The sequence below is a fragment of the Homo sapiens genome, chromosome 1 (genome assembly GCF_000001405.40).
Source record: "Homo sapiens chromosome 1, GRCh38.p14 Primary Assembly".
Classification (NCBI taxonomy): domain Eukaryota; kingdom Metazoa; phylum Chordata; class Mammalia; order Primates; family Hominidae; genus Homo; species Homo sapiens.
In genome coordinates this window covers 233888458-233913644 of record NC_000001.11, presented here as the reverse complement: position 1 = coordinate 233913644, position 25187 = coordinate 233888458, and the positions used below count along the sequence as shown (strand labels likewise).

The following is a 25187-nucleotide window of genomic DNA, read 5'->3' as shown; positions in this document are numbered from 1 at the left end:
GGAAACGGCCACTTAGGCCTTTAATAAGTACATTTAACAAATGTTTATTGATCGAGATACTCTGTGCACTGTGGAAGAATCACCAGAGTTCTATGTGCCAAGACCACAGTGAGGGGTGGAGACACAATAACAAGCCCTGCCCCTAGAGAGCTTTCTATCTGCAACAGCTTCAGCCACATTCTTAAACTAGTCGTGACTATGTAAAAGAAGTGACAACACTATAGGAGATGCAAGAGCACCTCCTGTAATCAGTAAAGGCTCTTGGGAGGAGGTGACACTTAGGCTGGGACCTGGATGAGGAAGGTGACAGGCATCAGATGACTGGTACTGTAATGTACTGTAGTCTGTTTCTGCTCACAAGTCCAACTTCATACACGACACTCCTGCCCCATGATGTTCTAATCAAGCGGAATTACCGTCTAGCAATAGCTGACTACATTCCCGTGCATATGTTGTCCCTTTGCTTGGAATGCAAACCTCCCCTCTATTTCTGTTGTGAATGACTCCTCCAGCTGAAGAATGAACTCACTGATATGAGAAAGGGCTCCCCAGGCACTGCAAACTGATCTTTATCACACCATATAAACACTTCAGATTTTACCTACTCCAGTAAGTAAGCTTTTAGGGCAAGGACTGTGTCTGCCATCACTAATCTCTGCATTCTGGCACAAAGTAAATGCTCAAAAGATTTGCTAAATGGATATAAAGGTGCATTAATAGATGCCAGCTGTACAGACATTGGAAGAGTCCTCCCTTTTCCATGGTTTTGCTTCCCATGGTTTCAGTTATCCTTGGTCAACTATGGTCTGAAAATACTAAAAGGAAAATTCCAGAAACAAACATATCACAAGTTTTGAATTGTGTGCCATTTTGAGTTGCATGATGAAATCTTGAACCTTCCCACTTCATCCCACCCAGGATGTGAATCATCCCTTTGTCCAGCGTATCCACGCTGTCTACGCCACCTGCTCACTACTATATAAGAAAAAATAGTGTATATTGGGTTCAGTACTATCCACAGTATCCACTGGGGGGCCTGGAATGCATTCTCCCTCCGATAAAGCGGGACTACTGTATTTCATTTAATCTTCACGACAATCCTAGAAAGTAGTTCTATTATCTCCTTTTCGTTTTTTTTGTTTGTTTGTTTCTTTGTTTGTTTGTTTTTGTGATGGAGTCTCACTCTGTCGCCCAGGATGGAGTGCAGTGGCACGATCTCGGCTCACTGCAACCTCCGCCTCCCGGATTCAAGCAATTCTCTGCCTCAGCCTCCCGAGAAGCTGGGATTACAGGTGCCCACCACCATGCCGGTCTAATTTTTGTATTTTTAGTAGAGACGGGGTTTCACCATCTTGGCCAGGCTGGTATTGAACTCCTGACCTCGTGATTCACCCGCCTTGGCCTCCCAAAGCATTGAGATTACAGGCATGAGCCACCGCGCACGGCGAAACTAGAGGCTCATAGCAGTGAACTTGTCATATAGCTATGAAGCTGGGATGTGAATTCTATTTCCTCTGCTCCTCCAGACATTAAAAAAACTAAGTGGACACCCCTCAGGGCTGCAGGGCCAGAGCATCCCTAACAGCTTACAGTAAAATGCTTAACAAACATCAATGGTGCATTTGCATGTGGATTTATGTTTGAATGCAACTAACCTGAATGTTTCCAGCTGCTTAAGGAAAGGACCAAGGCTCAAAGCTGGAGAGTTTTAGACTAGACTAGACTCTTTTTAATGAGATCCAGGAGGGACTTCTGAAGAGCAGGGAGAACTCTCCTTGCCCACGTCTCCCTAAAGCCTGGAAGACTTCACTTCCCTGGAGGTGAGGCCATTTCCCCATCACCACCATATGCGTACTTCAGATTTCACCTGCTCTAGTTGGAAAGCTTTTAGGGTGAGGACTGTGTCTCCCATCACTTATCTCTGTATTCTGGCACATAGTAAATGCTTTAAAAGTTTGCTAAATGAACAAATGAAAATAAAGGCACATTAATAGGCACGAGGGATTTCTAACCCCATGGCAGATGCGAAGGGTTTATAACCCCATGGCAATGATCTAAGTGAGCTGGGGTCACCTCGTTTCCTTAAAAGATAATAGTTCTGCATTTTCATTACATCAAAACTCAGAAACTATTTACTAAATTGTTAGCATATTTAAGAATAAAATTAATTCTCTGACCCAATAAAAAATGCTGTGCTCTAATGCTCAACTCACCACCCCCTCAAGCCCTCTAACTCTTTTCTTTTAAAATCTTCTCCATCTCATATTTCATATGCCAAGCTCCATTCTAGAATAAACTTTTACAACCAAATTATACATCTCTTACAAGTGGGTCATTTTTGAATTGCTGACCTGACCTTTACTATTTTAGGAGGATCAGACAGAAGTTGCTCACCATGAATTCAATGATACTATAAGTCACTGTTCCATTTAGCACCGGTATCTACGCCAGCAACATATACTCACAGTTCAGGGTGAACTAACAGGGACGCTAGGAAGACAGCCTTTCCATGAGCCCTTCCCCCTCACCTCATACAAACCCTTTACAACTTTTAAACCTGGAGAATCCTGAAACATGCAATTTCCTTGTCACCAGGTGTGTTATTCAGTGCCCTACATTTTTTCAGCTTGAACTAGAAAACCTCCACCCAGATAAGCTGGGATTTGTTCATTAACCTGCATGTTCCTGTCCCAGGTTCACGTTGCCAATAGCGGGCTGGAGTGGGCTAGAGACAGTTGGTCTTTTAAGACTGACCCTCTCTCCATTCTACAAATGACTTAAAACTCATTCCATTCACATTCTGGAAAAAAGCATTTAAATCTCAACATACCAGAACCTGTAGTGAATAATAGTTGACGTTCAACAAAGTGTATAAACCTACTCAAATGATAATTGCACTTCATGTTAAGCAATAAGCATGACCCCCTTCAAAAAAGCTATTCGTAAAATGTTTTGGGGACTTTTTACCCAGAAAAGGATTTAAGAGTTCAATATTTGAAAACATCCTTTAGGGAAACCTTTCGGAAAGGGAAACATCCTGCCCACCCTTAGAATGTCTGTGTTCTAATGCAGGTTTGTGTTGACCTGTATTTCTAGACGAAGGCACACCTGGACAGTGAGCCACCTCTTCCAGCACTTCTCTCTCTATTCTGACATACACTGACTGCTGAAAAAAGGTTTTTTAAATGAATAAATGAAAATAAAGGAGTATTCGCAGATGTTCCTTCATCCTGCAGCAGAGCCTCTATCTGGAAACTCCAAGATATGTTCCTTCAATCATTCCTGTATGGAAATGCCACCAGCTGTCCCACCCTATCAGATGCCTGGGGCTGGCTGTCTACTATACAGATTTTTCCTGGTCTTTGATTCTCCTCATCCCTTCTCTAGCCATCTCCTCCCTAATTGGTGTCCATCCCAGAGAAATGAGAAAGGAAAAGGAAGCAGAAGATATTCTAATCAGTCATTTCTCTTCTACTGGGGCAAAAGGTAGGAAAGAAAAGGAAGTTATTAAAAGAAACTGTTCAGAGTCTCCTGAATTCTAAAGCACTTCCTACAGGGTGTCAATTTATGATGATTGGTTGTGGAATCATGCCAGCTGCAGAAGGAACAGGCTCTTTCAAATCTTCAGAAGACACTTGCACTGCCAGTGGTGATGATTACTCGATCTGGCCATCCTGAAAACCTAAAAAGTGGTCCAGGAAGAAAGGTGAGGAAGGAGAGGGTCAGGAATTTGTAAGGTAGGCCTGCTTGTTTAGCATTACTGGGCAACAGAAGAGAGTTCTATTGCAGCATAAATTTGGGGGTTACCCTAAATGAGTGGGTCTCAACTAAAGGCTGCCCCCCATGGGATACTGAGTTGCTACAACTTAGGGGGCAGGGTGGTAAGCTACTGACATCTAATAGGCAGAGGTCAGAGATACTGCTAAACATCCTACAATGTACATGACAGCTCCCTACAACAAATACTTATACAGCACAAAGGGTTAATAGTGCTGAGATCAAGAAACCCTGGGCCAAACCAAAGCTTATCACCAAGAATTCTGGTCCAGTCTGTGGTTCAGGAAGCACTTGTGATGGAAGAACTAGGAAAGAGTAGAGCAATTCCACATAACAGGAAGTCAGCATAAAGAGGTAAATGATACAAATCACTACAGAGGCATATTCAAAGCTCCCTGTCCCAGAGGTCAGTATTTCGTGCAGCAGCCATCCATTCATTCAACAAATATTTATTGAGTCCCTCCTGTGGCCCAGGTGCTTTCTGGGCCCTGGATCCACTCAACAGATGATAATTTGAAGAATTCCCAGGAATACTGCCAAGTGGTTTGGTTCAAAAACATGGAATGTGGAGCTTGGAGGACTTTTGCCACTGAGAAGAGGAACTGGGCCCTTCTTACTTCCTTGTTTACAGTTTAATTCTCAGTTGAATGTTTCACAAAAGCCATCCCTTTCAGACCCAGGAGCCTTTGGGATTTTTAAAAAAGAATCCTAGGCTGGGTGCGGTGGCTCATGCCTGTAATCCCATTACTTTGGGAGGCCGAGGAGGGCAGATCACAAGATCAGGAGTTCGAGACCAGCCTGACCAACATGGTGAAACCCTGTCTCTACTAAAAATACAAAAATTAGCCGGGCATGGTGGTGGGTGCCTGTAGTCCCAGCTACTCAGGAGGAAGCTGAGGTAGGAGAATCGCTTGAACCTGTGAGGCAGAGGTTGCAGTGAGCTGAGATTGTGCCACTGCACTCTAGCCTGGGCGACAGAGCAAAACTCCTTCTAAAAAAAAATACTATTATTTGGGGAAGCTGGGCAAATTTTAAGCCAGGCACGGTGGCTCACGACTGTAATTCCAGCACTTTGGGAGGCCGAGGTGGGCAGATCATGAGATCAGGAGTTCGAGACCAGCCTGGCCAACATGGTGAAACCCCATCTTTACTAAAAATACAAAAAATTAGCCAGGCATGGTGGTGCTAGTCCCAGCTACTCAGAAGGCTGAAGCAGGAGAATCGCTTGAACCCGGGAGGTGGAAGTTGCAGTGAGCCGAGATTGCACCATTGCACTCCAGCCTGGGTGACAGAATAAGACTCTGTCAAAAAAAAAAAAAAAAAAAAAAAAAGAATCCTTTACAAAATTCTCTTGTCTAGAGCGAAACTTGCGAATCCAAATGACTGAGTTGAGAATACTGAGCAAAGGTAATTTCTGTACTGTTCACAATTACCTCATTTATCTTAACAACCCAAACAAAATCTAAAAATGAAGAGGATACAAATGAATATTGGGTCATTCAAATGGTTTCTTCTGCTACAAGGGCAAATGACTTACATCCAGAAACTTTCACTGGCAACTCCTTCAGTTAGGACACAGATAAATCACTTTGAAAGATGACTGAAAGGTGACATAATAGCTTGGAGCTTCCATAACTCACTCTGGAGATCATGAGAATTTTTTTTTTTTGTCTTTGTTTTGTTTTTTTTGTAACCATCATCTCTCCCCATTTATAGAGTACAATTACCAACCAACAAATAAAGCAACTAGGTGATACCTACAGGTAATAGATAAGCCTCTTTATTATTATCAATTGAGTAGAAATGGCAAACAGCAAAAGTTCTGCCTTAAAACCTCTTCTGGGCCGGGCGTGGTGGCTCACGCCTATAATCCCAGCACTTTGGGAGGCCAAGGTGGGTGGATAACCTGAGGTCAGGAGTTCAAGACCAGCCTGGCCAACATAGTGAAACCTCATCTCTACTAAAAATACAAAAATTAGCAGGATGTGGTGGCGCACGCCTGTAATCCCAGCTACGCAGGAGGCTGAGGCAGGAGAATCACTTGAACTCAGGAGGTGGAGGTTGCAGTGAGCCAAGATCATGCCACTGCACTCTACACTCCAGCCTGGGTGACAGAGTGAGACTCCCTCTCAAAAAACAAAGAAAAAAAAAACAAAAAGACAACCTCTTTTGCTGCATTAATACATTAATAAAACATTACCTTCTCTAAATTTAAACATTACACCTAATTAATTCACCAAAATGTCAGTTGTCACCTAAAGCGTTATAGTAACAAGGAAATACCTTGGAATAAAGAAGAATCCTCACAGGAATAGAGAGAGTGGAATGAGCTGATTTTATTCATATTTCAATGATCACTGTAGCCTTCCCTGCTACTATTTACTCTTCCAGTGAAGCCTCAGAGAGAGGCATTTAAGAATTACCTCCAGTGATGCAAGGGACTCCATTTCCACATGGCCCTTCTCTTGTCTTAATTACAAAACATGTTGTACCAAACAGTCATCACTGCTGTAAGCTCTCTGGCAAGCCCCCAAATCACAAACCTTGGTGATAACTTCCACAAAGCACATACAGCCAGTCACAAATAGATTTATAAAGATAAAACCTTTTTATGACTTCAAGCACCAAAGAGATGACTTTATGAAGGCTGTCATTTATACCACTGTCTTTTGTTATTAAGGAAGCAGAAAATGGAAATAAGAATAGAAAATTGCTATTTTCTAATAGAAATTTAGAAAGCAGAAGTAAAACTTGAGCGTTCTATCCATGCCCATAAGAAATATGGTTTCCAATGGGGTTTAATTTTTGTTATCCCATGCCCAGGGTTTTTCAACCAAAAAGAGAATTTGGCCCCTTGTCTTCCTTTTGTAATAAGCTACAATTTTAGCAGCAGAGGCAAGAGATTGGAAGAGATACAGACAATTTTTTTAAAGGCTTATACCCAATGAAACACAGTCTTTTAAAAGCAAGTTGCATGAAAACAAAACATTCAAATCCTGTTTCTTCCTGCAAATAATTTTAAACTAACCAGCTAACTGCTAGCATACCACTGACCTTTGCCTTGGACTCGCAGGTTTTAGGAATAATCTAAAGATAGACATTTTTTTTTAGTGATGAATATGATTAAATTACAAACGCCCGTTTTCCCCTTAAAGACCAATAAATAATGTTTCAATTTTAAGCAATAAAAGGTCGAAAAAAACTCAAAATCAACAAGCTATTAATCTAGTCTTTATTACAAATGAAAGACGTCAAGGCCCATTTCTCATACGGACTGAGGTGGCAAATGGCAATCTCTTATGTCAAACTACAGTGATGAGACCACCTAATTATGGTTATATTTATAGATATCTGGATTTCATCATAATCAACCTCTCTCTTGCAAAGTGAGAAAAAGAAATGTCCACCAAATTAGTCCTGGTGACATAAGATAATGTCTGTCTAATTGATCACAGCATCCTCAAAGCCATTAGCTAGGACCCACGGAAAGAAAAACATTTCAGCTTCTCCACCTGACACCAAACATTCAACTTGCAGGGACCAACACCACTATCTAGAATGATCCCTATAGAACCTCCTTACTGAAGACCGATAAAATCCAGGGGAGAAGGGCGTGAACGGCATCCAAAATGAAGACCCCAAGAATTGTCCTCTATCATCAGGGCTAGGAGATGCAAGGAAGAGTTAAAATCCTGGCTATGTAAGTCAGCATCTCCATCTGAGCCTGGTGAGACCTGACCGAGGGCCCTGTGAGACTTTCAGATCCGCGGGGAAGCCACACTGTCCGGGATACTTTGAGTTTCTGATCTGTTTCCCACGGTCTGCCACATAGGAGTGTCCTCCGTATTTGGCAGTGGAGAGATAAGGATACAGAGAGATCCTGTGTGTGGGAGAGGAAGGGGTGTAAGAGAACGCATCAGAACGCCTCAGAGGTCCAGGAGAACTCCGTCTCCGGGCCTCTTCCTCGAAGTTGCAAACCTGGGTCTGTATCAGCAGGCAGGGCGGGAGGGGGTGGCTGGACGCCTCACTGCGTGCGCTCCCCGAGGCTGCTGTGACAATGGTAAGAAGATGGACCAGTGAACGGGAAACATGACGTGAGGGGGTCTTACTTTTGCAGCTCGCTGCCCAGGGCTGGTAGCCATAGTAGCCAGTGATGCGCAGGATCCGCTCCTCGATGGACGTGAGCCCCACCGGCCCGCTGGTGAGATCCTCCACGGAGCGCGACCATTTCAGATCCTCCTTAATCGCCTCGTCCACCACCAAGTACTTGAGCTGCCGGAGCTGGGGGCTGATGTCGGACAGTCTCCGGGGGCTGACGTCCGGTGACCTCCTCATGCCACTGCGGTCGCAGGCGCCACGGGCAGGTGGGTGGGCAGGGGGAGCATGGACAGAGAGGAGGGGATTCGTGAGGAGCAGATCCCAGGGCGAGAGCAAGAGCGCGGCCGGGGCCCTCCGGGGGCGAGCGCCGCGGCAGAGCCCGCGCTCCTCCCTTCCCGCCGCCACTCACCCACTTCCCCGGGCAGCTGTCCCCAGTGCCCTATCCTGGGCGTCTCGGGGCAGTGCGGGTTGGGGCGAGTGGCGAGGGAAAGAATGACTGAAACTTCCCGAGCAGCTCCACCGCGCGCGCCGCCCTTCCCCGAGCCTCAGACTGCCCAGTGTCCCAGCTGCAAAGGGCTACCCCGGCGCTCCGGCCTCCCGCCCGCCGGCTCGCTCACCCACGCCCGGGGCGCTACTCACACGGCAATGCTCTTGCCCCTGGGTGCGCCGCTGGGAAACTCTCGAATCCCCATAGGCAAAGACAGAGTGGGACCGGCAGCTCCCAGACTTGAGGCGGAGGGGCCGCGGGCCGGAGCTCCCTGCAGCCGCTAGCCTGGGAAGACTGGAGTGCGCTGCCCACCGAGGGTCTGCGCCGCGCCGGCCGCCCCGGGCCGCTTTGTGCGCGCCCGCGCGGTCTGTACCCGAGCGCCTCCGCGGCGTGCGGCACGATGCAGGCGCGGCGGTTCAGCCCGGTGACTCCAGGCCGGCCCGCGCGCTCGCCGCAACGACCCGGCAGCCGAGGCAGCGCCGCGCCCCACGCCCGTCACCGTCGCCGCCGCCCTAGCACACCGCAGGCGTGAGTCTCGCCGCGACCGGGAGAGCCCTCCCAGCTGTGCGCTCTCGAGGCACCTGGTCGGGCGGGGAGGCGTCGGGTCGGGGCGCACAGGGGCCAGGCGGGGGCGCTGCTGCCCACTTCCCGCCTCCCGGGCGTGCGCTCCGCCCCGGAGCCCGCACCTCGCGCCCGCGCTCCGCCTGGAAGCCTTGGGGCACCGGACGCGCTCCTCCACCCTTCTCTTTTGACTCAAACCCTGCCGCTCCCAGTTCAGTACTTTTCTCTCTCTCTCTCACACTCTCTCTCTCTCTCTCTCTCTCTCTCTCTCTCTCTCTCTCTATGTATATGTCTGTCTCTCTCTTTCTCTAAATTAGCAAAACTACTTGGAAAGAAAGAAACCTGGTTCCATGCTCAGCATGCCAAGTGAATAAATGGCGTTTCATAGGCAACGCTGAGACACAAAATGTATTATCTATTACGCTGTGGGGATCTCTCAGTCAGACCTGGTCCTCAGAGAGCTTACTTTCCCACTGATGATGCAATTACGAAATCAGTTCTCTCTTCATAGATTTCCATTTTAAAAGCTTCTCATCTTTTTCCTTACCACCCCACTGCCCCCGACGGCCGAAAGGCATTCTCTTCAGACTACCTAATCACCTTTCCTAATATTATTTTTCATCGGGGCAAATTTAGAAAAGATAGAAGTATGTGGAGAAGAAAATATCCATTATCCAGCCAAAAATGACGACTTTCAATTATGAACGTATTCTCTTCCAGGCTTTTTTCCAACGCAAAATACAGTTGTCACAAAAATCGGAATGAAATTGTACACACTACTTTATGTACTGCTTTTTTTATATTAAAATCATATTGTATAGCAGCAAACTATGAATAGAGGGGAACTTTCTCAACTTGAAAAAGAACATTTACAAAAGCGTACAGCTAACACCATGCTTAATGGTGAGAAACTAGAAGCTTTCCTGTTAAAATAAGGAACAGGGCAAGTATGTCTCTACTCAGCAATCCTTTTCAGCATCATACTGAAAGTCCCAGCTAATGAAATTAGACAAGAAAAGGAAATTAAAAGTATACGTATTGTGAAGGAAAAGGTAAAAGAAAACTGTCTTTGCAGCTGACATGACTGTTGATGTAGAAAAATTTCAATTGACAAAAAAACTCTCCTGTTACTAATAAGCAATTATGGTAAGATTGAAGGATACAAAATTAATGTACAAAAGTCAACTGCTTTTCTATATACTAGCAACGAACAATGGGAATTTGAAATTAAAACCACAATACTATTTATATTAGCACACCACTCAAATGAAATATTTAGGTACAAATCTAATAAATATGTACAATATCTATATGAGAAAAACTACAAAACTGTGATGAAAGAAATCAAAGAACTAAATAAATAGAGAGATATTTTATGTTCATGGATGGAAAAATTTAATATTGTTAAGATGTCAGTTCTTCCCAACTTCATCTATAGATTCAAAGTAATTCCAATCAGAATCCCAGGAGGTTATTTTGTGAATATCACAAACTGATTCTCAAGTTTATATGAAAAGGCAAAAGACCCATAATAGCCAACACAATATTAAAGGAGAAGAACAAAGTCTGAGGACTGATATTGCCCAACTTCAAGACTTACTATAGTTACAGTAATCAAGACAGTGTGGTATTGGTGAAAGAGCAGACAAATAGATTAATGGAACAGAATAGAGAGGCCAAGATAGACCCACACATAGAGTCAAGTGATCTTTGACAAAGGAGCAAAAGAAATCTAATGGAGAAAAGATCACCTTTTCAACAAATGGTGCTAGAACAACTAGACATCCAATCACAAAAAAAAAAAAGAAAGAAAGAGAGAAAAAAAGAAAAGAAGCTGGATACATAGATACAGACCTTACACCTTTCACAAAAATTAACTCAAAATAGATCATAGACCTAAATATAAAATGCAAAACTATAAAACTCTTAGAAGATAAAAAGGAGAAAACCTAGGTGACCTTGGGTTTGTAAATGACATTTTAGATACAACATCAAAGGCATGATCCATGAAAGTAAAAATTGGTATTGGACTTCGTTAAGATTAATAACTTCTGCTCTACAAAAGACACTGTTAAAACAATGGGAAGAAAAGCTACAGACCAATAGAAAATATGTCAAATCATATACATGATTAAGAACTGTAATAAAAAATAAGAATAATTAGAACTCAACAATAAGAAAATGATCCCAATTAAAAAATTGGCAAAACAGCTGAACAAACATATCAATAGAGATGATATACAGATGGTAAATCAGCACATGAAAAGATGCTCCACATCATACATCATTAGGGAATTCCAAATTAAGACAAAAAAGATGTATTGCTATACACCTACTAGAATGAATAAAATCCCAAACGCTGACAACATCAAATGCTGGCAGGATGTGGAACAGCAAGAAGTCTCTCATTCATTGCTGGTGGGAATGCAAAATGGTACAGCACTTTGGTAGACAGTTTGAGTTCCTTACAAAATTAATCATACTGTTACCATGCAACCCATCAGTCATGCTCCTTGATATTTACCTGGATGAGTTCAAAACTTAAGTCCCCACAAAAATCTGCACACAAATGTTTATAGGAACTTTTTTCATGATTGCCAAGATGTCCTTCAGTAGCTGAATGAATAAACATACTGTGGTACATCCATACAAAAGAATATTCCGTTCAGTGATAAAATGAGCTATCAAGCTGCAAAAAGACATGAAGGAAATTGAAAACATATTGCTAAGTGAAAGAAACCGGTCTGAGAGAGGCAAAACTATGGAGATAGTTTAAAGATCACTGGTTCCCAATGGTTGGGGAGAGGATGGGATGAACAGGCAGAACACAGAGGATTTTTAGGGCAGTGGGTTGATTTTGTATAGTACTGTAATGGTAGATATATATCATTATACATATGTCAAAACTCAGTGGATGCACAACCCTAAGAGTTAACCCCAATGTAAACTATAGACTTTGGGTGATAGTGATGTGTCAATGTTGGCTCATTATTTGTAACGAATGTACCACTGGTGCAGGATGTTGACGTGGGTGGAGAGAAGCTGTGGGTGTGTGACAGGGGGAAGGTATTTAAAAACTTTCTGTACTTTCTCCTCAAATTTGCTGTGAACCTGAAATCGTTCTTTAAAAAAAGTCTATTTTAAAAACTTCATTATGCTGCTTTTCTATGTCACTATGTTCTTCTAAAATATTTTCCAGTTTTATTAAGGTTAAGTGACAAATAGAAATTATATATGCTTACAGTGTAAAACATGATGTTTTGATATATGGATACACTGTAAAATGATTAAATCAAACTAATTATCATATCTGACACACCAAATACTTAACATTTTTTAGGAGAACATGTAAGATTTACTCTGTGAGCAGTTTTCAAGTATACATACATTATTGTTAACTATACTCACCACGCTGTATGTTAGAACCCTAGATCTTATTCACCCTGTCTAACTGAAACCTTGCACACTTTGACCAACATCTTCCCATTCCTCCCCATAGTCACAGCTTCTAGCAATCACCATTCTGCTCTCCGCTTCTATGAGTTCAACTTTTTAAAATGTTCCACTTGTAAGTGAGATCATGTGGTATTTGTCTTTCCATACCTGGCTTACTTTACTTAGCACAATGTCCTTCAGGCTTATCCATGTTATTGCAAATGACGGGATTGTCTTTTCTTTTTGAGGCTGAAGAGTATTTCATTGCATGTGTGTGTATAAATATATGTGTATATATAATATTTTATTTATCTATTCATCCATCAATTGACACTTAGGATGATTTCATAACTTGACTATTGTGAACAGTGCTGCAATAAACATAGGAGTGCAGATATCTCTTTGATATACTGATTTCATTTCCTGTGGATATATTCCCAGAAATTGGTTTGCTGGATCATATGGTAGTTCTATTTTTAGTTTTCTCAGTTACCTGCATACATTTTCCCATAATGGCTGTATTAATTTACATTCCCACCAACAGTTTATAAGAGTTCCCTTCTCTCCATAGCCTCACCAATACTTGTTTTCTTTTGTCTTTTTGAAGAAAGCCATTTTAAAAGGTGTAAGGTGATATTTCGTTGTCATTTTAATTTGCATTTCTCTTATAATTACTGACATTGAGCATTTTTTCATATACCTTTTGGCCATTTGTGTGTCTTCTTTTGAGAAATGTCTATTCCTGTCCTTTGTCCATTTTTTAATTGGGTTATTTGTTTTGTTGCTACTGAGTTTTTGTGTTCCTTATGTATTTTGGTGATTAACCTCTTATCAGATATATGGTTTACAAGCATCTTCCCTCATTCCTTATGTTGTCTCTTCACTCTGTTGATTATTTCCTTTGGTGGGCAGAAACTTTTCAGTGTGATGCAATCCTATTTATCTATTTTTGCTTTTGTTGAGTGTGCTTTGGGGTTCATATCCAAAAAATTGTGAAGTGAAGAGTCAATTTTTTTTAAAAAAAAGCAAAATTGACAAACCTTTAGCTAGACAAACTAGAAAAAAGAGAGAAGACTCAAATAAATCAGAACTGAAAAAGGAAATATTGCGACTGATACCACAGAAATACGAAGTATCTTAAGAAACTACTATGAACAACTATACACCAACAAACTGGATAACCTAGAAAAAAATGGATAAATTCCTAGAAACATACAACTACCCAGACTAACTAATGAAGACATAGAAAATCTGAATAGACCTATAATTAGTAAGAAGATTGAACCAGTAATTAAAATCCTCCCAAGAAAGAAAAGCCCAGGACCTAATGGCTTCACTGATGAATTCTAAAAAACATTTAAGAATGAGTTAATATCAGTCCTTCTCAAACTTTTCCAAAAAATTGAAGAGAAGGGAAGACTTTCCAATTTATTTTAAGAAGCCAGCTTACCATAATACTGAAGCCAGAGAAGAAGGCTACAAAAAAGGAAAACTATAGACCAATATCCCTGATGAACGTAGATGCAAAAGTCCTAAACAAAATACTGGCAAACCAAATTCAACAGCATATTAAAGGGATCATACACCATGATCAAGTGAGATTTATCCCTGGACGCAGGAATTGATTAATATACACAAATCAATGTAATATACCACATCAATAGAGTGAAGGATAAAAAACCACATGATCATCTTATTAAATGTAGAAAAAGCACTTGACAAAATTCAATATCCTTCCATGATAAAAGCTCTCAACAAATTAGGCATAAAAGGAATATATCTCAACATAATAAAATCCATGTATAAAAACCCACAGCTAACATTATACTCAATGATGAAAAGTTAAAAATGTTTCCTCTAAGGTTTGGAACAAGACAAAGATGTCACTCTCATCACTTCTATTCAATATAGTACTAGAAGTCCTAGTGAGATCAACCAGACAAGAAAAGAAATAAAAGAAATCCAGATTGGAAAGAATGAAGTAAAATTGTCTTTTTTTGGCAGATGACATTATCATATATATATATGATATATATCGCCCTAAAATCTCCAACAAAAAAAACTGGTAGAATAAATGAATTCAATAAAGTTACAGGATACAAAATCAAAATACAAAAATCAATTGCTTTCCTATACACTATACACTATCTACAAAGATCTGAAAAAATATTTCAAGAAATAAATCCTATTTATAATAGCTACCAAAAAATTTAAAATTTTAGGAGTAAATTTAACCAAAGAGGTAAAACATTTGTTCACTGATTTTAAAACATTGATGAAAGAAATTTAAGGTGACACAAATAAATGGAAATATATCCCATGTTCATGGATTGGAAGATTAGTATTGTTAAAATGTCTATATCACCCCAAGTTATCCACAGATTCAATGCAATCCCTATCAAAATTCCAATGCCATTTTTTTACATAAATAGAAAAACAATCTTGAAATTTGTGTGGAACCCTGTAAGACCCTGAATAGCCAAAGCAATCTTGAGCAAAAACAATGAAGGTGGAAGCATCACACTACATGATTTCAAAATGCACTGCAAAGCTATAGTAATCAAAACAGCATGTTACTGCCATGAAAACAGACCTATACCCTACTGGAACAAAAGTGAGAGCCCAGAGATAAATTCACACATTTAGTTAAATGATCTTTGGCAAAGGTGCTAAGAACATACAATGGGGAAAGGAAAGTCTCTTTAATAAATGGTATTGGGAAAACTGGATAACCACATGCAGAAGAATGACATTTGACCCTTATTTCAAACCATATACAAAAATCAACTCAAGCTGGATTGAAGACTTAAACATAAGACCTGATACTATCAAACTCATAAAGAAAGCACAGGGGGAAATCTTGACATTGTTCTGGGCAGTAATATTTTGGATAAAATATTATTCTCACTTGCTGTATTGTTATTGTATAGCTGTTATAATAATAAAAACTACAAAGCCATTATTTTAAAAGTAACAAGTAATATCTGGGTGTATAAATTAAAAATAAGATCCTTCATAATTCTACATAAATTTGACTCTTCTTTTTGTGAGATCCTTAGAAACAAGGTGCTCTCTCTCCCTCTTTCTGTGTGTGTGTGAATGCATGTGCACTTTCGTGTGTGCCAGAAAGCTTTTAATCCCTCTTTCTGAGACTGTAGGACAAGACTCCTTTTTTCCTTATACCTGAAGTATTTCATCTTAAGCTAGTCTTGAACTACTACAAAGAACACCTCATCGAATGTTTCTCAGAGCATCCTTAGGGGATCATTGAGCACAACCCGACATGAGATCACTCATGACAGTTGTTTAAATGCTAATTCTGAATCATCACCTCTCAAAGTTGGCATGGGAGTTGTAAATTTCACTGAATTCCCCAGACAAACTTTATGCACACTAATGTTTGAGAACCACTAATGTAAACAATGACCGAAGTTTTGTTAGCTCAAAATCCTCCCCTTGCTTTTAAAATCACGTTGGGTAAACTAAGGGTAAGATTCAGGCATAACCAGAATATAGGCCTCTCCCCATTTAATCACCACATTCTCTCTCTTAGGCTGCTCTAACTCTGGGTAAGGTCTTTAACCTTTCTATCAGTTCCCTCATCAATATAAAAGGGAAGACCTTGTAAGACTGTTGTAAAGATACAATGCATTAATACATGTAAAGTGCTTAGCACATGCCCCGTACTCAACAGATCTGAGTTAATATAATTAGCAGTGCAGCTAAAGGTTGACTTCGGCTTTTTGACAGCCACATGAAACTGTTGACTCATACCCAAGTTTCATGTTGACTAAAATCCCTATTTAATTTTTACATGTGCAGTTGCTAAGCCACATCACTCTCCTCTCCCTTTTAAAAAGTCAATAGCTTGGGTTTTGGAATCAAATACAATGGCTTAAATACTGGCTTCTCCACTCACCAGCTGGACAAACTGGGAAAGGTATTGAACTCCTCCAATCCTCATTTTTCGCATCAATCTCAAATAGTTATTATAAAGATTAAATGAATTGAACAATTAAGAAGTTAGCACAGCGCAGAGCCTGAGTTTAGTGCTCAGTAAATATTGCAATGATTATTATCAGTAAATATTGCAATGATTATTATTGTCACTTCTATAACGTTTCCACTTGTCAAATGTAGCAATTTCCATAACATCTCAGGAAGTTTCTGGATCTGGACTTTGTCAGCCATTGCAATTACTGCTGCTGCTCCCACCAAGTGCTACAGGGGAACCTCTTTTATCTCCTTACCCCTCGGTACCCTCACCTCTCCAGACAGTTCTCTTTATGGCTATAACTCTCAAGTTAAATACTTTGGCTTGGACCATGTGATACCAGGTGTGCATTCACTAGTCGAGGCCAGCAAACCACTCTTCCAATCAGCTGTGATCAGCCAGCATTATACCATAAATGCCACATTGCAGAACAGCCACCATAGGTTCTTCTATTATCCACATGTCAATTAACACCTAATGCTTTGCATTTTGGCACAGTGAATATCAGAAGTGGGCTCTCACTGGTGAAAATTTTGCTTTTTAAATGGTATCTATAAGTGTAAGAAATGAGTTTGCCTTGGGGAATTACAGATGTACATGGTGTGTGGATTGGATACAATATTTCAGAGACCCTCTCCATCAGGTTACCCAGGATTTAACTTCTATTCCTAGGGATAGTACCCAAAATTTGCCATCGTTTTTCCAGCCAACATTTATATAATTTTAGTTGCCTGATGCCAACTCTAAGAGTAGTAGAGCAGGACGCAGTGGCTCACGCCTATAATTCCAGCAGTTTGGGAAGCTGAAGTGGGTGGACCACCTGAGGTCAGGAGTTTGAGACCAGCCTAACAACTATGGAGAAACCCGTCTTTACTAAAAATACAAAAATTAGCTGGGCATGGTGGTGCGTGCTTGTAATCCCAGCTACTTGGGAGGCTGAGGCAGGAGAATCGCTTGAACCTGGGAGGCGGAGGTTGCAGTGAGCCGAGATCATCGTGCCACTGCACTCCAACCTGGGCAAAGAATCCTGCTCTAGAATATTGTTGCTTCTGAGTGAGCTTTTTATGTTTTTTTGTGGTTAGAGGGTCTATAAGAACAGAATGCTGCCCTTTGTGTGAGCTACGAAACAGGCCATATAAACATTTTTCTGAACACTTGCCAGTAAATGCTGTTTGTTTAATAACTGTGCATGTGTGGTACAATTTGGTGTAAGTTGATTTTATTATAACCTGTAGACATTATGGGTGCCTCAAGAATATCAACAAGATCTTGAGACCAGCTCTGCCTGGGATATTCAGAATCCTCAGAATCACAAAGCAGAAATTCTCTATGCTCCTGGTTCTTAAAGTTTATAGTTCTCCAGAATCACCTCAGATGCTACTTCAAAATGCAGGCTCTCATATCCTATCCAATTATAGGGAAGGTTCCCCCCTCCAAGTAGGCCTGATAAGCTAAATTTTAATAGGCAACCTGATGAGGCTGATGTAGATAACTAGTGAATGACACCCCTTAGAGAAAGGAGTGTCTCAAAACCATGTGGAAGCATTTTTACACACTAATTTCAGACTGCTCTTCAGATCCCTCAGTAAGAAACTTCTATATATGGACTGCAATTAAGCATTTTTCAAAGAGCTTCTCTGTGGTTCTTTTAACATATTCGCCATAGTTATGTTAAAGTTCTTATCTGTTAGCTCTAATATGGAGGTCATATGTGAATATGCTTCTATTGTCTATTTTTCTGTTGATTTTTGGTCATATTTTCTTGCTTATTTGCATGTCTAGTAATTTTTTCCTATTCTAGATGTTTTGATTTGAAACACTATAGAGCCTTCAGATGATTGTATTCCCCAGAAGAGAATATTTTCTTCTTCTGTTAATCAGGTAGCATGACAAATAGATCATCTTAACCTAATCAGACAGTAAACTGGCTTGAGGTTTAATTGCAGTTTTAGTAAGGTTCTAGCTCTACTTTTCCCTTTTTCTTTGTGCATTGTCCTCCTAGGGCTTTCACAGCAAGAAATCTATCTCTGCGCTTCAGAGATCCCCAGCCCAGGTCTCCAGCCACCTATCTTTATAGCTTTAAAAATCGCTAAATAGCTTAAGAGAGAGACTGTTGGCATTTTTTAGTCAGTCCCTCTCTCGGTGAGTCTTTGTTGCTTAATCACCACTAAGATATGGCTTCTTCTGTCTTTAGAAGTTTTGACCTACTTCTTCCACCTCTCATCCAACCCCAGAACTTAGTAAATATTCCATGGGGAAAACTTGGGGCCCTTTAAGTTTCCAATTTATTCCCCAGCTCTGTTTAATCACTGAAACCCTCACTAATTTCACTGATCTTAGGAAAAGGCCCTCTTCCAGGGTCTTTTTCAACTTTTGGCTTGCACTCCAAATTGGCAAGTGCTCCCAGGTATAAAACAAACCAACAAAAAACAAACAAATGGCTGTTGGCAACCATCAGCTCACCTTAGAATAGAATTAATTCTCTAGATTATTAATTCACCTAATACATGTTCCTTCCACAGCTTTCTGATGTCTTTAAAAATATATACTGGCTTTTCTAATTGTTGGCACTCCAAAATTTGATACATCCTATCTGCATGTAGATATATTCCTGATACACAATTTTATATATGTTTATCTATTTTTCTTTTTCAAAACATGTGTGTAATTATATCAAAGCTAACACATTTATCAGGATATATTCAGAAATGTAACATGTAAAGATGCTTTTCCCCTTCTGTCTTCCCTATGGTTCCTGGGTTAATTTGAAGGAAAGGGGTCAAGGATAGAAATGATCATGCACTGGCTTCATTTTGCTTAGCTGGCACTGTATTCACTTTTGATTGATTTCAGTTCTGAGACGAGGGTTTCAACAGCAACCAGTCAATATATCTGTATCCTCTGTCTAAAGGAATTATACTCACTGCCTGAATGAAGTTATGCGCTTTTCATTTTCTTCCCATAATAAAACCTCAATGAGTAAATTTCTTCCAATGAGTCCTGGGTTGAAAGCCAAGCTGATCATATGCTACTTTTAAATAAGGAATAAATTCTGCATATATGTTTCTATAGCTTACAGTCAGCCCTCTGTATTTCCGAGTTCTACATTGTTGGAGTCAACCAGCCTCAGACAAAAACTATTTGGAAAAAACACAATACAAAAGAATACAAATTTAAAAATCAACACATAACATACAATATACCCAGATAACAAACCTGCACATGTACCCCCCAAATCTAAAATAAAAGTTGAAATTATAAAAATAAAAATAAAAACAACAAAAAACCCCAGTACATTATAACAACTGTTTACACAGCATTTACATTGCATTAGGTATTATAAGTAATCTATGGATGATTTAACATATTCAGGAGAATGTGTGTAGTTTATATGCAAATTATTTGAGCAGACATGAGCATCTGCAGATTTTGGTGGGGTTGGGGGATAAAAGGGTTGTCCTGGAATCAATTCCCCATGGATAATAACTGTATTTTTTAAATCACCAAATGAAAGTTTAACTCATTAACTTTTAAAAATAACTTTATTAAAAATGTGTTTTTTGACATGAGAATGATTTATTTTTTACAAAAGGTCCAGGTTTCCTGAAATATTTAGGATATTTACATATACGTCTGTTTTTAAATTAATTAAATAAAAATGTATTGAGTACATGCTGTGTGCTAGGTTCTAAGATGGAGGCTAGTAAGACAAATAAGACAGTCATTTTCTGCCCTTAACAAACCCACAACGTAATAAATAAACAGACAAACAATTGCAATGTAGTGCAACATGGGCCATGGTGGATGCATGCAAATGACACTAGGGAAGCATGCAGGAGGGATTTACAAGTCAGTACTAGAGAAAGAATGAAGAAGATGGGGCACCAGAGAGATGTCAGATAAGGCTTCCCAGATTAGATGACTGACATGGTTTGGCTCTGTGTCCCCACACAAATCTCATGTCGAATTGTAATCCCCATGTGTCAGGGGAGGGACCTGGTGGAAGGCAACTGGATCATGGGGGTGGACTTCCCCCACGCTGTTCTCATAACAGTGAGTGAGTTCTCATCTGATGGCTTAAAGGTGTGACACCTCCCCCCTCACTCTCTCTCGCTCTCCTGTTGCCCTGTGAAGAAGCTGCTTGCTTCCCCTTCACCTTCTACCATGATTGTAAGTTTCCTGAGGCCTCCCAGTCATGCTTCCTGTGTAGCCTGCAGAACTGTGAGTCAATTAAACCTCGTTTCTTCACAAATCACCCAGTCTCATGTAGTTATTTATAGCAGCATGAAAATGGACTAATACAATGACACAAATTAGTTTTGAAAAATAAATAGAAATTAGCCAGGAAAACAAGAAGAAGGAGTTAAAGAAGGAAAAAGCAATAGGTGCAAAGGCCTGGAGGTGTAAGACAGCAACCTATTTAGAGGGTACAGTATGGATGAGGAGGCTGTAATAGGTGGAGAGTGGAGAAGCCACAAAGAGCTTTGTAAATAAAGCCACCATTATTACTTCTTGGAATACTGAAGTAGAATCCTAACTGGCTCCTTCCCACATCCACTCCCTCTACCTCCTTTGCCAGAGCAATCCTTGCAAAGGCCATTTGATCATGTCACTTTCCCATGTAAAGCTCTTTCAGTGGTATCTCATTTATTTAAGCAAGAGACCTGTATTTGTCCCCTTTCATGCTGTTGATAAAGACATACCCAAGACTGGGTAATTTATAAAGGAAAGATGTTTAATTGACTCACAGTCCCACAGGGCTAGGGAGGCCTCAGTAAATTTACAATCATGGTGATAGGGGAAGCAAACACATCCTTCTTCACACGATGGCAAGAAGAAGTACCAAGCAAAGGGGGAAAAGTCCTTTATAAAACCATCAGATCTCATGAGAACTCACTCACTATCATGAGAATAGCAGCATGGGTGTTACCATCCCTGTGATTCAATTACCTCCCACCGGGTCCCTCCCAGGACATGTGGGGATTATGAGAGCTACAATTCATGAAATTTGGGTGGGGACACAGCCAAACCATATCCTTCTGCCCTGGCCCCTCCCAAATATCATGTTCTCACACTTCAAAACACAATCATGCCTTCCCAACAGTCACCCAAAGTCTTAATTCATTCCAGCGTTAACCCAAAAGTCCAAGTCCAAAGTCCACCTGAGAAAAGACAAGTCACTTCTGCTCACGAGCCTGTAAAATCAAAAGCAAATCAGTTACTTTCTAGATACAATGGGGGGCATTGGGTAAAAACACCTATTCCAAATGGAAGAAATTGGCCAAAACAAAGGGGCTACAGGCTTCATGCAAGTCCAAAATCCAGTGGGGCAGTCAAATCTTAAAGCTCCGAAATGATCTCCTTTGATTCCATGTCTCACATTCAGGTCACACTGATGCAAGAGGTGGGCTCCCATGGCCTTGGGTAGCTCTGCCCCTGTAGCTTTGCAGGGTACAGCCTCCCTCCATGCTGCTTTCATGAGCTGGTGTTGAGTGCCTATGGCTTTTCCTGACACATGGTGCAAGCTGCAAGCTGTTAGTGGATCTATCATTCTGGGGTCTGCAGGATGATGGCCATCTTCTCACAGCTCCACCAGGCAGTGCCACAGTGGAGACTCTGTGCGGGGACTCCAATTGCACATTTCCCTTCTGCACTGCTCTAGCAGAGGTTCTCAATGAAGGCTCTGCCCCTGCAGCAGACTTCTGCCTGGAAATCCAGGTGTTTCTATACATCCTCTGAAATCTAGGTGGTGGTTTCCAAACCTCAATTCTTGACTTCTGCGTACCCACAGGCTTAACAATATGTGGAAGCTGCCAAGGCCTTGGGCTTGCATCCTCTGAAGCAATGGCCTGAGCTGTACATTGGCCCCTTTTAGCTATACATAGGACACAGGGCACCAAGTCCTAAGGCTGCACAGAGCAGCAGAGGGGCCCTGGGACCAGTCCAAAAATCATTTTTCCCCCTAGGCCTCTGGGCCTGTGATGGGAGGGGCTGCTGTGAAGACCTCTGACATGCCCTGGAGACATTTTCCCCATTGTCTTGGTGATTAACATTTGGCTCCTCATTTGTTATGCTAATTTCTGCACTAGGCTTGAATTTATCCTCAGAAAATGAGTTTTTCTTTTCTGCTGTATCGTTGGGCTGCAAATTTTCCAAACTGTTATATTCTGCTTCCTCTTGAATGCTTTGCTGCTTAGAAATTTCTTCCACCAGTTCCCCTAAATCATCTCACTTAAGTTCAAAGTTCCACAAATCTCTAGGGCAGGGGCAAAATGCCACCAATCTCTCTGCTAAAGCATAACAAGAGTCACCTCTGCTGCAGTTCCCAACAAGTTCCTTATCTCCCTCTGAGACACCTCAGCCTGGACTTCATTGTCCATATCATGATCAATATTTTGGTCAAACCATTCAACAAGTCTCTAGAAATTTCCAAACTTTTCCACATTTTCCTGTCTTCTTCTGAGTATCCAAACTGTTCCAACGTCTGCCTGTTACCCAGTTCCAGAGTCACTTCCACATTTTTGGATATCCTTATAGCAGCACCCCCACTCTCTGTGATACCAACTTACTGTATTAGTCTGTTCTCATGCTGCTAATAAAGACATACCCGAGACTGGGTAATTTATAAAGGAAAAAGCTTTAAGTGACTCACAATTACACAGGGCTGGGGAGGCCTCAGGAAACTTGCAATCATGGTAGAAGGGGAAGCAAACATGTCCTTCTTCACATGATGGCAGGAAGGAGAAGTGCTTAGCAAAAGGGGGAAAACCCCTTATAAAACCATCAGATCTCACGAGAACTCACCACTATCATGAGAACAGCAGCATGGGAGTAACTGCCCCCATGATTCAATTACCTCCCTTTGGGTCCCTCCCATGACTTGTGAGGATTATGGGAATTACAATTCAAGATGAGATTTGGGTGGGGACACAGCCAAACCATATCAAGACCCAATCCTTCTCCTGAGCTGCCTCCTGACTTGCACCCTGTAGCTGTTCTTTATCCATACCAGCCTCTTGGAGCCCATGGAATGTGCTTTACTTTCTCTTGCCTTCTGGGTAGTGCACAAGACACCCTCCCTGCCTGGGAAGGCCTTCCACCTCCCACCTCCATACCTTGTCAACTCCTTCACCTGCCTTGAATTTTCTGCTGAGACTGCCTCTCTCCAGGAAGGCTTTCCTGACCCTTCCCAAATTGGACCAAGTTTTCCCTTTATAACCCTATGATACTCTATAATTGCCTTTATAACCCTTCTCAGAGTATTATTACAGATTAAGTTACAGTGTTATTTGGTTAGTGCCTGATTCCCACACTAGGCTAAAAATTATATGAGGCAAAAATTCTTTTGCTTTCATTGTGACTCTGATATCTGATGTAATACCTGTGTAGGTTCTGCTAAAATAATTATTCGTTAAACAAATGAGGAAACGAGTAAAACTGAGGGAGACAGTAATTGGAAAATAAGCTATGTGAGGAATTAATTGCATGCAACTTTACAAAATTTATTTAGACTATCTGCTATTGTCAGTATCCACTTCTAGGTTAACACTAAATTCTCCATAAAAGGTTGGCATTGGGGAGACTTCAAATGTCCTCCCAGCCAATTTCCTCTGGGGCTTTAACCCAGACAGTATGTGTAGCAACCAACTGTCCTGAATTTTCTGAATCAGTTGTGATTTCAAATTCCCTGTTCCATTGTTTTCAAAGAGTATGGTCTTTGTCAGATAATATGTCACAATTTTTGGGTCAGAAAATATAGTTGCTGTGATATATTTCTCTGATATCTTATGTAAGGTATATGGGTTATGATAGGTAGGTAGGTAGATAGATAGATAGATAGATAGATAGATAGAGATATGATATATTTGGCAATGTCCCCACCCAAATCTCATGTTGAATTTCCATGTGTTGTGAGAGGGACCTAGTGGGAGGTAACTGAATTATGGGGGCAGGTCTTTCTCATGCTGTTCTCGTGATAGTGAATAAGTCTCACAAGATCTGATGGTTTTATAAGAGGATTTCCCCTGCACAAGCTCTCTCTCTCTCTTTGGCTTCTGCCATCCATGTAAGACGTGGCTTGCTCCTCCTTGCCTTCCACCATGATTGTGAGGCCTCCCCAGCCATATGGAGCTGTAAGTCCATTAAACGCTTTTTCCTGTGTAAATTACCCAGTCTCGGGTATGTCTTTATCAGCAGCGTGAAAATGAACTGATACAAGATATATGCCCACACGTACTGCATTTTGTTTATTATGTCCCAATAAATGGCAGCCTCTTTTAATTTAGGCATCATGTTTTTCATCTTTTCTAACTCTTCCCATTCTCAATGACTAAGTAAATATTATTGGTGGATTAACCACTATCATGGAAAGAAAAGTAGATTTCTAATGTTGCACAATGTGCATTAGAAAACAAAGTCTTTACTCAGATTCTGCAAATATTTGACCAGATCAGTTAAGATCAATATCCTCAAATATGACTGTGACATAATTGTAGCAAAGACAATGCTACATGTTTCAAAGTATTCCTCTGTGTTGGCTACTGTATTATTCTGTTCTTACACTGCTAATAAAGATATACCAAGACTGAGTAATTTATAAAGAAAAATAGGTTTAATGAACTCACAGTTCCACATGACTGGGGAGGCCTCATAATCATGGTGGAAGGTGAATGAGGAGGAAAGTCATGTCTTACATGGCAGCAGGCAAGAGAGCTTGTGCAGGGGAACTCCCTTTTATAAAACCATCAGATATCATGAGACTTATTCACTATCATGAGAACAGCATGGAAAAAATCCGCCCTCATGATTCAATTACCTCCCACCTGGTCCCTCTCA

At 41.0% G+C, this 25187-nt stretch overlaps 1 protein-coding gene across 1 annotated transcript in view; it reads right to left on the bottom strand.

Moving 5' to 3' along the window:
* Positions 1-8969, bottom strand: part of SLC35F3 (solute carrier family 35 member F3) — a 419836-nt gene extending 410867 nt beyond the window's left edge. The window contains exons 1-2 of the mRNA NM_173508.4: positions 8515-8969; positions 7887-8116 (exon numbers count right to left, since the gene is read on the bottom strand). Of these exons, the coding sequence (NP_775779.1) occupies positions 7887-8116; positions 8515-8567 (283 nt within the window). The 5' untranslated portion in view covers positions 8568-8969. The remainder of the gene's footprint in view (positions 1-7886; positions 8117-8514) is intronic.
* Between the last annotated feature and the right edge of the window lie 16218 nt (positions 8970-25187).